The 12,901-nt window shown below is 43.2% G+C and overlaps 1 protein-coding gene and 1 non-coding gene across 10 annotated transcripts in view, besides 1 other annotated feature; one reads left to right on the top strand and one right to left on the bottom strand.

The window, feature by feature from the left end:
- The window catches only part of SCAP (SREBF chaperone), a 63,447-nt gene that overhangs the window by 9,958 nt on the left and 40,588 nt on the right, over positions 1-12,901 (top strand). For 3 of the 9 annotated variants that reach the window (XM_047447739.1, XM_047447737.1, XM_047447732.1), the window contains exon 2: positions 723-794. The exons of the other annotated variants lie outside the window; for them this stretch is intronic. The gene's annotated coding sequence lies outside the window, so the exon portion shown is untranslated. The remainder of the gene's footprint in view (positions 1-722; positions 795-12,901) is intronic. 9 annotated transcript variants of the gene reach the window in all.
- Positions 133-234: a silencer, noted in NCBI's record as "fragment chr3:47508426-47508527 (GRCh37/hg19 assembly coordinates)". NCBI's record gives its function as "represses an EF-1alpha promoter that drives an FKBP-Casp9 reporter gene in an ReSE screen in phorbol 12-myristate 13-acetate-treated (for megakaryocytic differentiation) K562 erythroleukemia cells {active_cell/tissue: K562(+PMA)}" and the evidence as "EXISTENCE:reporter gene assay evidence [ECO:0000049][PMID:32094911]".
- Positions 722-821, bottom strand: LOC124906372 (small nucleolar RNA U13). The gene has a single exon (XR_007096339.1). It is a non-coding gene; the product is annotated as a small nucleolar RNA U13 (small nucleolar RNA).

Below are 12,901 nucleotides of genomic sequence, written 5' to 3'. Positions count from 1 at the left end.
CATTCTGTTGGTTAGCATTTCACTCTCTTTATTGTGTGATTTGCACAATTTTTAACTTTTTTTTTTTTTTCTTTTTTAAGACAGAGTCTCCCTCAGTCACCCAGGGTGGAGTGCAGTGCTACAGTGTTGGCTCATTGCAGCCTCCACTTCCTGGACTCAAGCAGTCCTCCCACCTCAGCCTCTCAAGTAGCTGAAACTACAGGTGCACACCACCATGCCTGGCTAATTTTTTTTGTATTTATTTTTTTTTAAGATATGGGGTCTTGCCATGTTGTCCAGGCTGGTCTCAAACTTCTGAGCTCAAGCAGTCCGCTTGCCTTGGCTTCCCAAAGTGCTAGGATTAAGGCGTGAGCCACCACGCCCGGCCAAAAGTTTTTAATTTTTATGAATTCCAGTTTATCAATTTTTTTCTTTTGTTGCCTATACTTTTCAATCCTTGCTAAACTCAGCATCATGAAGATCTTTTTCTTATATTTTCTTCTAAGGGCTTTACAGTTTTAGCTCTTCTTTTTTCATTTATTTGATCTATTTTGAGTTAATTTTTGTGTATAAGAGTCCAACTTCACTTTTGCGTGTAACTATCCAGTTTTCCCAGTAGCATTTGTTGAAGAGACTGTCCTTTCCCCAGTGACTGGTCATGGCATCTTTGTCAAAAATCAGTTGATTATATTTGTGAGAGTTTATTTTTGGGTTCTTTTTTCTTCTTCTTTTCTTTTTTTCAGGTTAGATGGGTAGTGCTGACATCATAACAAGGTTCAAGAATGACTCATCTCACATGTGTGTGAAACACCCAGGTATCATACTGATGAACTACAGAAGATCTGGGCTCTCTATTGTTTTATATGTCTGACCTTATGCCAGTACCACATTGTTCTGCTTACTGTAGCTTTATAGTAAGTTTTGAAATCAGGAAGTGTGAGTCCTCAACTTAGTTCTTGTTTTTCAAGTTTGTTTTGGCTATTCAGGGTTCCCACTTTTTTCTTTGGACAAAGTAATGGGGAGAATTTCTTTCTTTTTTTTTTTTTTTTTTTTTGGTTTTTAAGACAGTCTCACTCTGTTGTCAGGCTGGAGTGCAGTGACGCAATCTTGGCTCACTGCAAACTCCACCTCCTGGGTTCAAGCGATTCTCCTGCCTCAGCCTCCTGAGTAGTTGATATTACAGGCACCTGCCACCACGCCCAGCTAATTTTTGTATTTTTAGTAGAGACGGGGTTTCACCATGTTGGCCAAGATGGTCTCGATCTCTTGACCTCATGACCCACCTGCCTTGGCCTCCCAAAGTGGTGGGATTACAGGCGTGGGCCACTGCACCCAGCTTTTTTTTTTTTGTTTTTTTAAACAAGTAAATGGAAAGAAATCCCACGTTCATGGATTGGAAGACAATATTCTTTTTTTTTTTTTGAGACGGAGTCTTGCTCTGTCACCTAGGCTGGAATGCATTGGCGCAGTCACTGCTCACTACAGCCTTGAGCTCCCAGGCTCAAGTGATCCTCCCACCTCAGCCTGCTAAGTAGGTGGGACTACAGGAATGTACTACTGTGCCTGGCTAATTAAAAAATTTTTTGTAGAGATGGAGTCTCACTGTGTTGCCCAGGCTGGTCTTGAGGACTCCAGGGCTCAAGCAGTCCTCCCCACTTGACCTCCCAAAGTGCTGGGTTTACAGGCATGGGCCACCGTGCCTGGCCAGCTGTTAGAATTTTGATAGGGATTGCATTGCATTTTGATATGGATTGCGTTTGTAGATAGCTTTGGATAACGTTGTCATTTAAAGAATATTGTCTTCCCAGCCTGGCCAACATGGTGAAACCCTGTCTCTACTAACAATACAAAAATTATCCAGGTGTGGTGGCATACACCTGTAATCCCAGTTACTCAGGAGGCTGATACAGGAGAATCGCTTGAACCTGGGAGGCGGAGATTGCAGTGAACCGAGATTGTGCCACTGCACTCCAGCCTGGGTGACAGAGCAAGACTCTGTCTAAAAAAAAGAAAAAAAAAAAAGAATATCATCTTCCAATCCATGAAAGTGGGAAAGTGGGATTTCTTTCCCTTTATTTTACGTCTTTAATTTGTTTCAGCAATGTTTCAGTTTATGTCTTTTGTCTCCCTTGCTTAAATTTATTCCTAAGTATTTTATTCTTTTTGATGCTATTATAAATGGAATGTTTTCCTAATTTTGTTTTTAGATTGTTCACTGTCAGTGAACAATAGAAATGCAACTGATTTTTGCATGTTCATTTTGCATCCTACAACTTTGTTGAATTCATTTATTAGCTGTGTGTGTGTGTAATCTTTAGGGTTTTCTACATGTAAGATCATGTCATCTAGGAACGGAAATAATTTTACTACTTCCTGTCCAGTTGAGATGCCTGGAGAGAAAGGGTAAATGAGGCAGTGAGAAGGTTCTTGCTTAATTTCTCTGGCTAAAACTTTTCAGTACTGGATTAAATAGAAGTGGCATCCTTGTCTTGTTCCTGATTTTAGGGGAAAAGCTTTTAGTCTTTCACCATCAAGTGTGATGTAAGCTGTGAGATTTTCATATATACCCCTTTATTATGTTGAGGATATTGCCTTCTATTCCTATTTCATTGAGTATTTTTTAATCAAAAAGTTATCTTGAATTTTGTTAAATGCTTTTTCTGCATCAGTTGGGATGATCATTGTTTTTCTCCTTCATTCTAGTAATGTGGCATATTACCTTAATTGATTTTTGTTAAACCATCCTTGCACTTTGGGAATAAATTCCACTTGTCATCTGAGATGTATGTTTAATATCTACTTTAAAAAAAAAAACACAAATCAGTCCCAGCCTGGGCAACATAGTGAGACCCTCATCTCTACAAAAAATAAAAAAAGCCTGGTGCAGTGGCTCACGCCTGTAATCCCAGCACTTTGAGAGGCCGAGGCAGGCGGATCACCTGAGATCAGGAGTTCAAGACCAGCCTGACTAACATGGTGAAACCCCGTCTCTACTAAAAATAGAAAAATTAGCCAGGCTTAGTGGGAAGCGCCTGTAATCCCAGCTACTCAGGAGGCTAAGGCAGGAGAATTGCTTGAACCTGGGAGGCGGAGGTTGCAGTGAGCTGAGATCATGCCACTGTACTCCAGCCTGGGTGACAGAGCGAGACTCTGTCTCAAATAAATAAATATTAAAAAATAAAATAAAATAAATTAGCCAGATGTGGTGGCTCATGCCTGTAGTCCCAGCAGTGTGAGAGGCTGAGATGGGAGGATCACTTGGGAGGTTGAGACCGCAGTGAGCCACGATTGTACAACTGTATCCAGCCTGGGTGACAGAGCAAGACCCTATCTCAAAAATAAAACAAAAAACCAAAAAACTTAGAAGTCAACAGATGCTTATTGAATTCTTCCTAGGTGTCAGACACTGTTAAAGTTCTGGGGATTCAGCAGTGAACAAGGCTAAGCCCCTGTTTTCTTTTAATTTTTAATTTTAGTTTTTTTTTTAGGGACAGTCTCACTTTGTCACTTAGGCTGCCAGGCTCGAGTGCAGTCATGCATTCTCAGCTCACTGCAACCTCTGACTCCTGGGTTCAAGTTATTCTCGTGCCTCAGTTTCCCATGTAGCTGGGATTACAGGCACTACCACACCCAGCTAATTTTTGTATTTTTAGTAGACACAAGGTTTCACTATGTTGGCCAGGCTGGTCTCAAACTCCTGACCTCAAGTGATCCGCCTGCCTCTGCCTCCCAAAGTGCTGGGATTACAGGCACGAGCCACCGCACCCCGGCCCACTGGAGTGTTTTGAGCAGGGTAGTGACATTAGTGATTTGTGCTTTAGAAAGATTTATCGAGGATGGAATGAGGCAGGAATGAATAGAGGCATTCCTGCTGTCCCCATGGTCAGTGATGGGAGAGTAGCCAGGGAGATGATGATTGTTGGTCAGGTTGGGGATCTGACTTGGAGGTAAAACTGTTGTAACCAGCTGTTTCAGATGTGGGCTTGTTGTAGGATGTTTCCTAAACTTTCCGCCGGAGGAATAAACAGGGTAGCTAGTGGTATAATTAACTGAGATGGCTGGGAAAGAACAGCTACTGTGGGGAAATCAAGAATTCTGTTTTTGGTCTTGTTAGATTTGAAGTGCTTATTAGGCATTTGAGTGGAGATACCAAGTGGAAATAGTGTAAATAAGGAGCTTAGGGGAGAGGCTTGAGAGGTGTGTATGTAAGAGACATCAGCAAACAGATGAGAATTGGAGCCAGGAGTCAGGCTGAGAAGCCCTGGGGAGAAAGGGTAGATGAGGAAAGCAGGCCAGGAACAAAGCCTATGGGGAAGCAGGAAGGGAGGCTGAGAAGCACAACCTTCTAGGACATCAGTAGGGACATGATGTCACTCACAACTAGGAAATAAGTAGGTGTTTTCCTTTCTTTCTTTCTTTTTTTTTTTTTTTTTTTTTGAGACGGAGTTTCGCTCTTATTGCCCAGTCTGGGGTGCAATGGCGCGATCTTGGCTCACTGCAACCTCCGCCTCTCAGGTTCAAGCGATTCTCCTGCCTCAGCCTCCTGAGTAGCTGGGATTACAGGCATGTGCCACCACGCCCGGCTAATTTTTTGTATTTTTAGTAGAGACGGGGTTTCACCGTGTTAGCCAGGATGGTTGTAGGCGTTTCTCATTTCAGCATAGTGTCTTTATGGTCAGCCCTTTCAGTGGCTGCCTCTGATGGTGTTTGATCATAAGTCATAACTCATCCATGAAGGTGTTTTACAGTCTGTCTTCAAGCAGGCAGGTCCTTAGATTGAAAGAATGGAGGCTTCACTGCGTGTGCCTTTACTACACAGATAGCCGATGGGGCAGAGGTTGTATAGCTGATGGGGCAGAGGCTGTCAGATGACTGTTTTACAGAAAAACCTTTGACAAGTTATATAGTAAACTTGTTAAAAGAAAAAGTTGATCTCCTAGCTAAGACAAAAGGTTTCAGTTTAGGAAGATAAAAAAGATGGATGGTGGTGATGGCTGCACAACAATATGAATGTACTTAATACCACTGAACTGTACACTTAAAAGGGGTTAAAATGATGTTTATGTTAATAATTTTTTTTTACCACAAAACGAAGTAGAATACTTTGTCACTGATTATAGTAAACATTTAAATCTGAATGCTAGATTGCTTTTTTTTGAGATGGAGTCTCACTCTGTCGCCCAGGCTGGAGTACAGCAGTGTGATCTCAGCTCACTGCAACCTTTGCCTCCTGGGTTTAAGTGATTCTCCTGTCTCAGCCTCCCAAGTAGCTGGGATTATAGGTGCCTGTCACCATGCTCGGCTAATTTTTGTATTTTTAGTAGAGATAGGGTTTCACCGTGTTGCTCACGCTGGTCTCAAACTCCTGACCTGAAGTGATCTGTTTGCCTCGGCCTCCGAGAGTCCTAGGATTATAAGAGTGAGCCACCGTGCCCGGCCTAGACTGCTCTTACATAGGTTAAAACACATTATTTTGTTGGGAGGTGCTGGGGAATCAACTCTGTCATGGAAATGTTCCCCGGGCTGGGAGTTGGAACCAGAGTGTTGATTGTTGTCATTTGCTACATGACCTGGGTCATCTGGCATGACCTTCCCTAAGCCTCAGTTTCTTCCTTACCAATAGGATATTGTGCTGGAGGATCCCATCTCTCCTAGCTCTGAAATCTGGTAGCTTTCTGTTCCTTTGTCTCTATAAATGTCTGGAAGGCAAGCAAGTTCCAGTCTGAGAAGTGACTGTGAACATTTGGAAGAATTGTGTGGTCCCAGTGCATATCACAGTCCACAGTTGTCCTGTTAGCTGGAAAGTTTTACTTAGTACCAGATTATAGATATGAAAAAGAAGCAATTAAAACTTACAGCAGGCCTTACAATTTGAGACAGAAACAAAATCTTTGTTTTTTAGACTTTGACCAAATATTTGGGAATGAGCACCATGTAGATGTGATTTGTTTATCTGTGAGGCTTCACACATTGTGACTTGACAAGAACCCATAGCACTTAGGTTTGTGAGCCCAGAGTACCACCCTTTGCCTTGAAGAGTGTGGAGGGAGTCTTAGGGCCAGCGGTGAGCAGGATGAAAGGTTCTTAGAAGCTGGTGGGCATGGAGGGGGTACAGAGGGGAGGCTCTCCTGGGAGATAAGGTGGTGGAAGGGGCCGGTGAAGTCTGGTGTGCTGGAGAGAGCTCTAGGGGCTCCTGGACCCTCACCCCAAGGAAAAGGGGCCCAGGTGAGCCTCATCTCTTGGCTTTCTTCTTTGCCACATTTCTCCTCACAAACTCCTCCCCTCTTTGCACTGTTTGGAACCCTCTTCCATGCAACGTTTATATTAAGAGTTCTTGCTGGGCGCAGTGGCTCACGCCTGTAATCCCAGCACTTTGGGAGGTCGAGGCGGGTGGATCACGAGGTCAGGAGTTCAAGACCAGCCTGGCCAGGATGGTGAAACCCCATATCTACTAAAAATAAGAAAATTAGCTGGGCACAGTGGCAGGCACCTGTAATCCCAGCTACTTGGGAGGCTGAGGCAGGAGAATCGCTTGAACCTGGGGGCGGGGGCAGAGGTTGCAGTGAGCCGAGATTGTGCCACTGCACTTCAGCCTGGGGGACAGAGTGAGACTCTGTCTCAAAAAGACAACAACAACAAAAAACCAAAAAACAGTTCTTGAAGTGTTGTGGGAAGTCAGGGACCCCGAACGGAGGGACTGGCTGGAGCCGCGGCAGAGGAACATAAATGGTGAAGATTTCATTTTAATATGGACATATATCAGTTCCCAAAATTAATACTTTTATAATTTCTTACACCTGTCTTTACTTCAATCTCTGAACATAAATCGTTAATATTTCCTTTTAATATGGACATTTATCAGTTCCCAAAATTAATACTTTATAATTTCTTATGCTTGTCTTACTTTAATCTCTTAATCCTGTTATCTTCGTAAGCTGAGGATGTACGTCACCTCAGGACCACTATTGTGTTAGCTGTACAAATTGATTGTAAAACGTGTGTTTGAACAATATGAAATCAGTGCATCTTGAAAACAGAATAACAGCTATTTTAGGGAACAAGGGAAGACAACCATAAGGTCTGACTGCCTGTGGGGTCTGGCAGAATAGAGCCATATTTTTCTTCTTGCAGAGAGCCTATAAATGGACATGCAAGTAGGGAAGATATCGCTAAATTCTTTTCCTAGCAAGGAATATTAATAATTAAGACCCTGGGAAAGGAATGCATTCCTGGTGGGAGGTCTATAAATGGCCGCTCTGGGAGTGTCTGTCTTATGCGGTTGAGATAAGGACTGAAATACGCCCTGGTCTCCTGCAGTACCCTCAGGCTTACTAGGATTGGGAAACTCCGCCCTGGTAAATTTGAGGTCAGACCGGTTCTCTGCTCTTGAACCCTATTTTCTGTTGTTTAAGATGTTTATCAAGACAATACGTGCACAGCTGAACATAGACCCTTATCAGTAGTTCTGAATTTGCCTTTGTCCTGTTTCCTCAGAAGCATGTGATCTTTGTTCTCCTTTTTGCCCTTTGAAGCATGTGATCTTGTGACCTACTCCCTGTTCTTGCACCCCCTCCCCTTTTGAAATCCTTAATAAAACTTGCTGGTTTTGCAGCTCGGGTGGGTATCACGGTCCTACTCATATGTGATGTCACCCCTGGAGGCCCAGCTGTAAAATTCCTCTCTTTGTACTGTTTCTCTTTATTTCTCAGCCGGCCGACACTTACGGAAAATAGAAAGAACCTATGTTGAAATATTGGGGGTGGGTTCCCCTAATATTGAAGTAGTAACGCAACGAGACTCGTCACATCTCCCATTTTGGGATTTGATTGTATAAAACTGTCAAGAGCTTTGATGCCCTCCAGCAAAGCACGCTTCTTGCAGGAAATCAGGCAAAGGGTGTTTAGCCTGTGTGGCCTGATATGCTCATGTGTAGCTGGTGGCAGGAGGCTGGTCCTGGCTGTGCTCCTACAAGTACCTGCTGGAGTGGAGGCTGAGGACACTCTGTCCATGGGCCAAGACATTGTGTGAAATGACAAGGCTGCCCCCATGGGCTCTCAAGTTGTTTCTAGCTTTAAAACAGATTCTTGGCTGGGTACGGTGGCTCACACCTGTAATCCCAGTACTTTGGGAGGCCAAGGCGGGCAGATCACCTGAGGTCAGGAGTTTGAAACCAGCCTGACCAACATGGTGAAACCCCATCTCTACTGAAAATAAAAAATTAGCCAGGCATGGTGGCACATACCTGTAATCCCAGCTACTTGCGAGGCTGAGGCAAGAGAATCGCTTGAACCCAGGAGGCTGAGGTTGCAGTGAGCCGAGATCACGCCGTTGCACGTCAGCCTGGGCAACAAGAGCAAAACTCTGTCTCAAATAAAGAAATAAATAAAAATAAAACTGATTCTTAGCAGCAGCAGTTCAGTCCCTTTGTTAGTCATTCCTGACCAGGTCAAGAGGGAGTAAGAATGTAGGTAACTGGCATTGTGGAAGAAAATCTTTAATAGGTTTGTTGGTGTTCTATTGTAAAGAGGGTTGACATTATGCACGTGGTTATTTGTGACAACCATTACAACCAACTAATATAATTTGGTCTTACTTCAATTTGGGTGTTGCTGTGCCATCCCAACAGTTACTCTAAAATGTGCCAGTACTCATCTTCTTGAATATGTGTGTTTTTAGGCTTTAAATTCTCTGAAATCAGCTTTCGTTCATTAACTGAAATTCCTTTATTTTTTCAATACTATTTAATTATTATTATTTTTTTGAGACAGAGTTTTGCCCCTGTTGCCCAGGCTGGAGTGCAGTGGTGCAATCTCAGCTCACTGCAACCTCTGCCTCCAGGGTTCAAGCGATTCTCCTGCCTCAGCCTCCTGAGTAGCTGGAATTACAGACGCATGCCACCACACCCAGCTAATTTTTGTTTTTGAGTAGAGACGGGGTTTCACTGTGTTGGCCAGCTGGTCTTGAACTCCTGACCTCGTGATCCACCCGCCTTGGCCTCCCAAAGTGCTGGGATTACAGGCATGAGCCACTGCGCCTGGCCACGCCCTGCTAATTTTTGTATTTTTAGTAGAGACGGGGTTTCACCATGTTGCCCAGGCTGGTCTTGAACTCCAGACCTCAGGTGATCTGCCCACCTCAGCCTCCCAAAGTTCTGGGATTACAGGCGTGAGCCACCGTGCCCGACCTTTTTTCAATACTATTAACTTGATCTGCTGAAAATTCTCCCAGGTTACTGGCTAATTTTGAAGCTTAGAGAAGCAATTTTCTTTTTATTTATTTATTTTGAGACGGAGTCTCGCTCCATTGCCCAGGCTGGAGTGCAGTGGCGCCATCTCAGCTCACTGCAAGCTCCGCCTCCCGGGTTCATGCCATTCTCCTGCCTCAGCCTCCTGAGTAGCTGGGACTACAGGCACCCGCCACCAGGCCCAGCTAATTTTTTGTATTTTTAGTAGAGACGGGGTTTCACTATGTTAGCCAGGATGGTCTCGATCTCCTGACCTCGTGACCCACCCACCTCGGCCTCCCAAAGTGCTGGGATTATAGACGTGAGCCACCGTGCCCGGCCCAGAGAAGTAATTTTCTGCCCTTAGCATTGGTCCGCTTGACAACTTTCAGAAAAACATTATCCCAAAGGGATGAATTGTTTGCACCAGTGGACTAGTTTAGCTCAGTGAGCAGACCTATAGTGACTTTCTGCTCAGCACCAGGTGAGGTGCTGGGTGCTCTAGGGAACACAAGGTGATTCAGTTATTCCCTTCTCCTGAAGGGGAACGCAGTCAATCCAGGAGGCTGAGAGAGTCAGAATGAGCAAGGTGGAAGTTCACAGTTAGAGAAGCTCAGAGAAGAGGGCTGCTGCTTCCACAGGAAACTTTGCTCATTATTTTTTAATTTCAGCTTTTCAATGTAGAAATACATTTACATGACACAAAATTGGAAAGGTAAACTACATGGGAAAGTTTCCCTTCCATCTTGCACCTGGCTACCAGATCCTCTCCCCAGAGGCTGCTGGTGCTGCCACTTCTCATGTGTCCATTCCCAGGTGTTTTGTGCATTTATAGACAAATAAGCAGAGACTTCTGTTCTCTTACATGAAAGTAGGACACTGCTCCCTTGCTTTTTTCTCTGAATGTTTCTTTATGATAGTTTATCATTAATTTTTGTATTTTTAGTAGAGACAGGGTTTCACCATGTTGGCCAGGCTGGTCTGAACTCCTGACCTCAGGTGATCCACCCGCCTCAGCCTCCCAAAGTGCTGGGATTGTAGGTGTGAGCCATTGTGCCTAGCTGGGCTTTGGTATTTTTAAATTGATTTTGTCAAAATTGCTTATATACGCGGGAATTTAGCACCTTGTCAGCGATATGAATTGCAGTTGTATTTTTCCAGATCTTATTTATCTTTTTTTTTTGAGACGGAGTCTCGCTTTGTTGCCCAGACTAGAGTACAGTGGCACGATCTCACACGATCTCGGATGATCTCGGCTCACTGCAACCTCCGCCTCCCAGGTTCAAGTGATTCTCCTGTCTCAGCCTCCTGAGTAGCTGAGACTACAGGCGTGTACCACCACACTGGCTAATTTTTGTATTTTTAGTAGAGACAGGGTTTTGCCATATTGGTCAGACTGGTCTCAAACTCCTGACCTCAGGTGATCCACCTGTCTCGGCCTCCCAAAGTGCTGGGATTACAGGCATGAGCCACTGCACCTGGCCTAAAGTAATTTTTATATTTCATATTTTACCTTTAAATCTTTTCTCTATTTGGAATTTATTTTTATTTTTTATTTTTATGTTGAGGCAGGGTCTTATTCTGTTGCCCATACTGGAGCACAGTAGTGTGATCATGGCTCACTACAGCCTGGACCTTGCCAGGCTCAGGTAATCCACCCGCTTCAGCCTCCTGAATAGCTGGGACTACAGGTGTGCATCACCATGCCCAGCTAATTTTTGTACTTTTGGTAGAGAAGGGTTTTGCCATGTTGCCCAGGCTGGTCTTGAACTCCTGGGTTCAAGTGATCTGTCTGCCTTGACTTCCCAAAGTGCTGGGATTGTAGGCCTGAGCCACTGTGCTTTTTGGAATTTATTTTGATGTGAAGTGTTAGATCCAGCTTAATTTTTTTCCGTGGCTACCCATTTGTTGCAACACCTTTTGTTGCGCAATTAATCTTTCTCCTACTTGTTTATCATTTACTGTATATAGTATACTTTGCCATATGTGTACATTTTGGTCTATTCCTGGACATTCTGTTCTGTTACATTAATCTGTGTATTTATGTGTTAGGACCACACTGTTTTAATTACTCTAGCATGTTTTGTTATTTGGTGAAGTTAGTTCCCTTTCATCATCTTTATTTTCCAGAACTTTCTTGGTTATATTTGTTTTTCTGTATAAACTTGAAGTTTGTTTAGTTAAAGAAGTCCTGTTTTTATTGGGACTGTTACATTTCTAGATGAATGTAGGAAGAGTGACACTTTGGTTACGTTATATTGACTTTTCCTCATTAAGAATGTGGCATGTTTTTCTTTTTGTTGAAGTCATCTTTTCTGTCTTTCGGAGTTTCAGAGATTTCTTTTGGTTTCTTTTTTTTTTTTTTTTTTTTTTGAGGTGGAGTCTTGCTCTGTCACCCAGGCTGGAGTGCAGTGGTGCAATCCCGGCTCACTGCAACCTCCACCTCCCAGGTTCAAGTGATTCTCCTGCCTCAGTTTCCTGAGTAGCTAGGATTACAGGAACGTGCCACAATGCCCAGCTAATTTTTGTATTTTTAGTAGAGACGGGGTTTCACCATGTTGGCTAGGCTGGTCTTTAACTCCTGACTTCAGGTGATCTGCCCATCTCGGCCTCCCAAGTTGCTGAGATTACAGGCGTGAGCCACTGTGTCCTGCTGGGAGTTTCAGAGATTTCTTACATTTCTTTTTAAGTTTATTTTCAAGTTTTTGGTTTTGTTATTTATTTTAGTGTTAATGAATCATTATTATAATCAATATTATCATTATTTTACTTCTGCCTGCTTGTTGTTGATGTATGTGAAGGCATTGATATATATTAGTTTTCACTACCTTATGGTGATTCTTTTATCAACTGTAAAAGGTTTTCAGTTGATTATATATATATATATATATATATATATATATATGTAATTTTTTTGTATATATATTTGGATTTTGTACATAATATCATTTGCAAATAATGATAATTTAACTTTTTCCTTTCCAGTTGTATACCTATGTTTTCTTTGTCTTGACTGATTGTGATAACTAGTAGTTCCACAATAGTAATAAATAATGATGGTTAAATGCATAGCCTGTATGGCCCCTGACGTTAGTGAGAACACTTCTAGTGTGTTCCCATTGGGCTTGATTTTAGCTTTGAGATTGAGAAAGATGTAAACATTTAGTTGAAGTCTGTATTTATTTTTTATATATATATGTGTATTTTTTTTATTATTATTTTTTGAGACAGAGTCTCTGTCATCTGGGCTGGAGTGCAGTGGCACAATCTTGGCTCACTGTAACTTCTGCCTCCTGGGTTCAAGCGATTCTCCTGCGTTCAAGCGATTCTCCTGCCTCAGCCACCCAAATAGTTGGGATTACAGGTGCCCGCCACCATGCCTGACTAATTTTTGTATTTTTTAGTGGAGACGGGGGTTTCACCTTGTTGGCCAGGCTGGTCTCGAACTCCTGACCTCAAACGATCCACCAGCCTTGGTCTCCCAAAGTGCTAGGATTACAGGTGTGAGCCACCGTGCCTGGCCTAATATGTATGTATTTATGTATGTATGTAAATCAACGTACACATATCTACTAAGCATCTGTCTATTCTTTTTTTTTTGTGACGGAGTCTCACTCTTTCGCCCAGATGGGAGTGCAGTGGCGTGATCTCTGCTCACTGCAGGCTCCGTCCCCCGGGGTTCACACCATTCTCCTGCCT

Source organism: Homo sapiens, chromosome 3 (genome assembly GCF_000001405.40).
Source record: "Homo sapiens chromosome 3, GRCh38.p14 Primary Assembly".
NCBI classification, from domain to species: Eukaryota; Metazoa; Chordata; class Mammalia; order Primates; family Hominidae; genus Homo; species Homo sapiens.
Note: the sequence above shows the minus strand (reverse complement) of the source record. Positions and strands in the feature narration are given on the sequence as shown.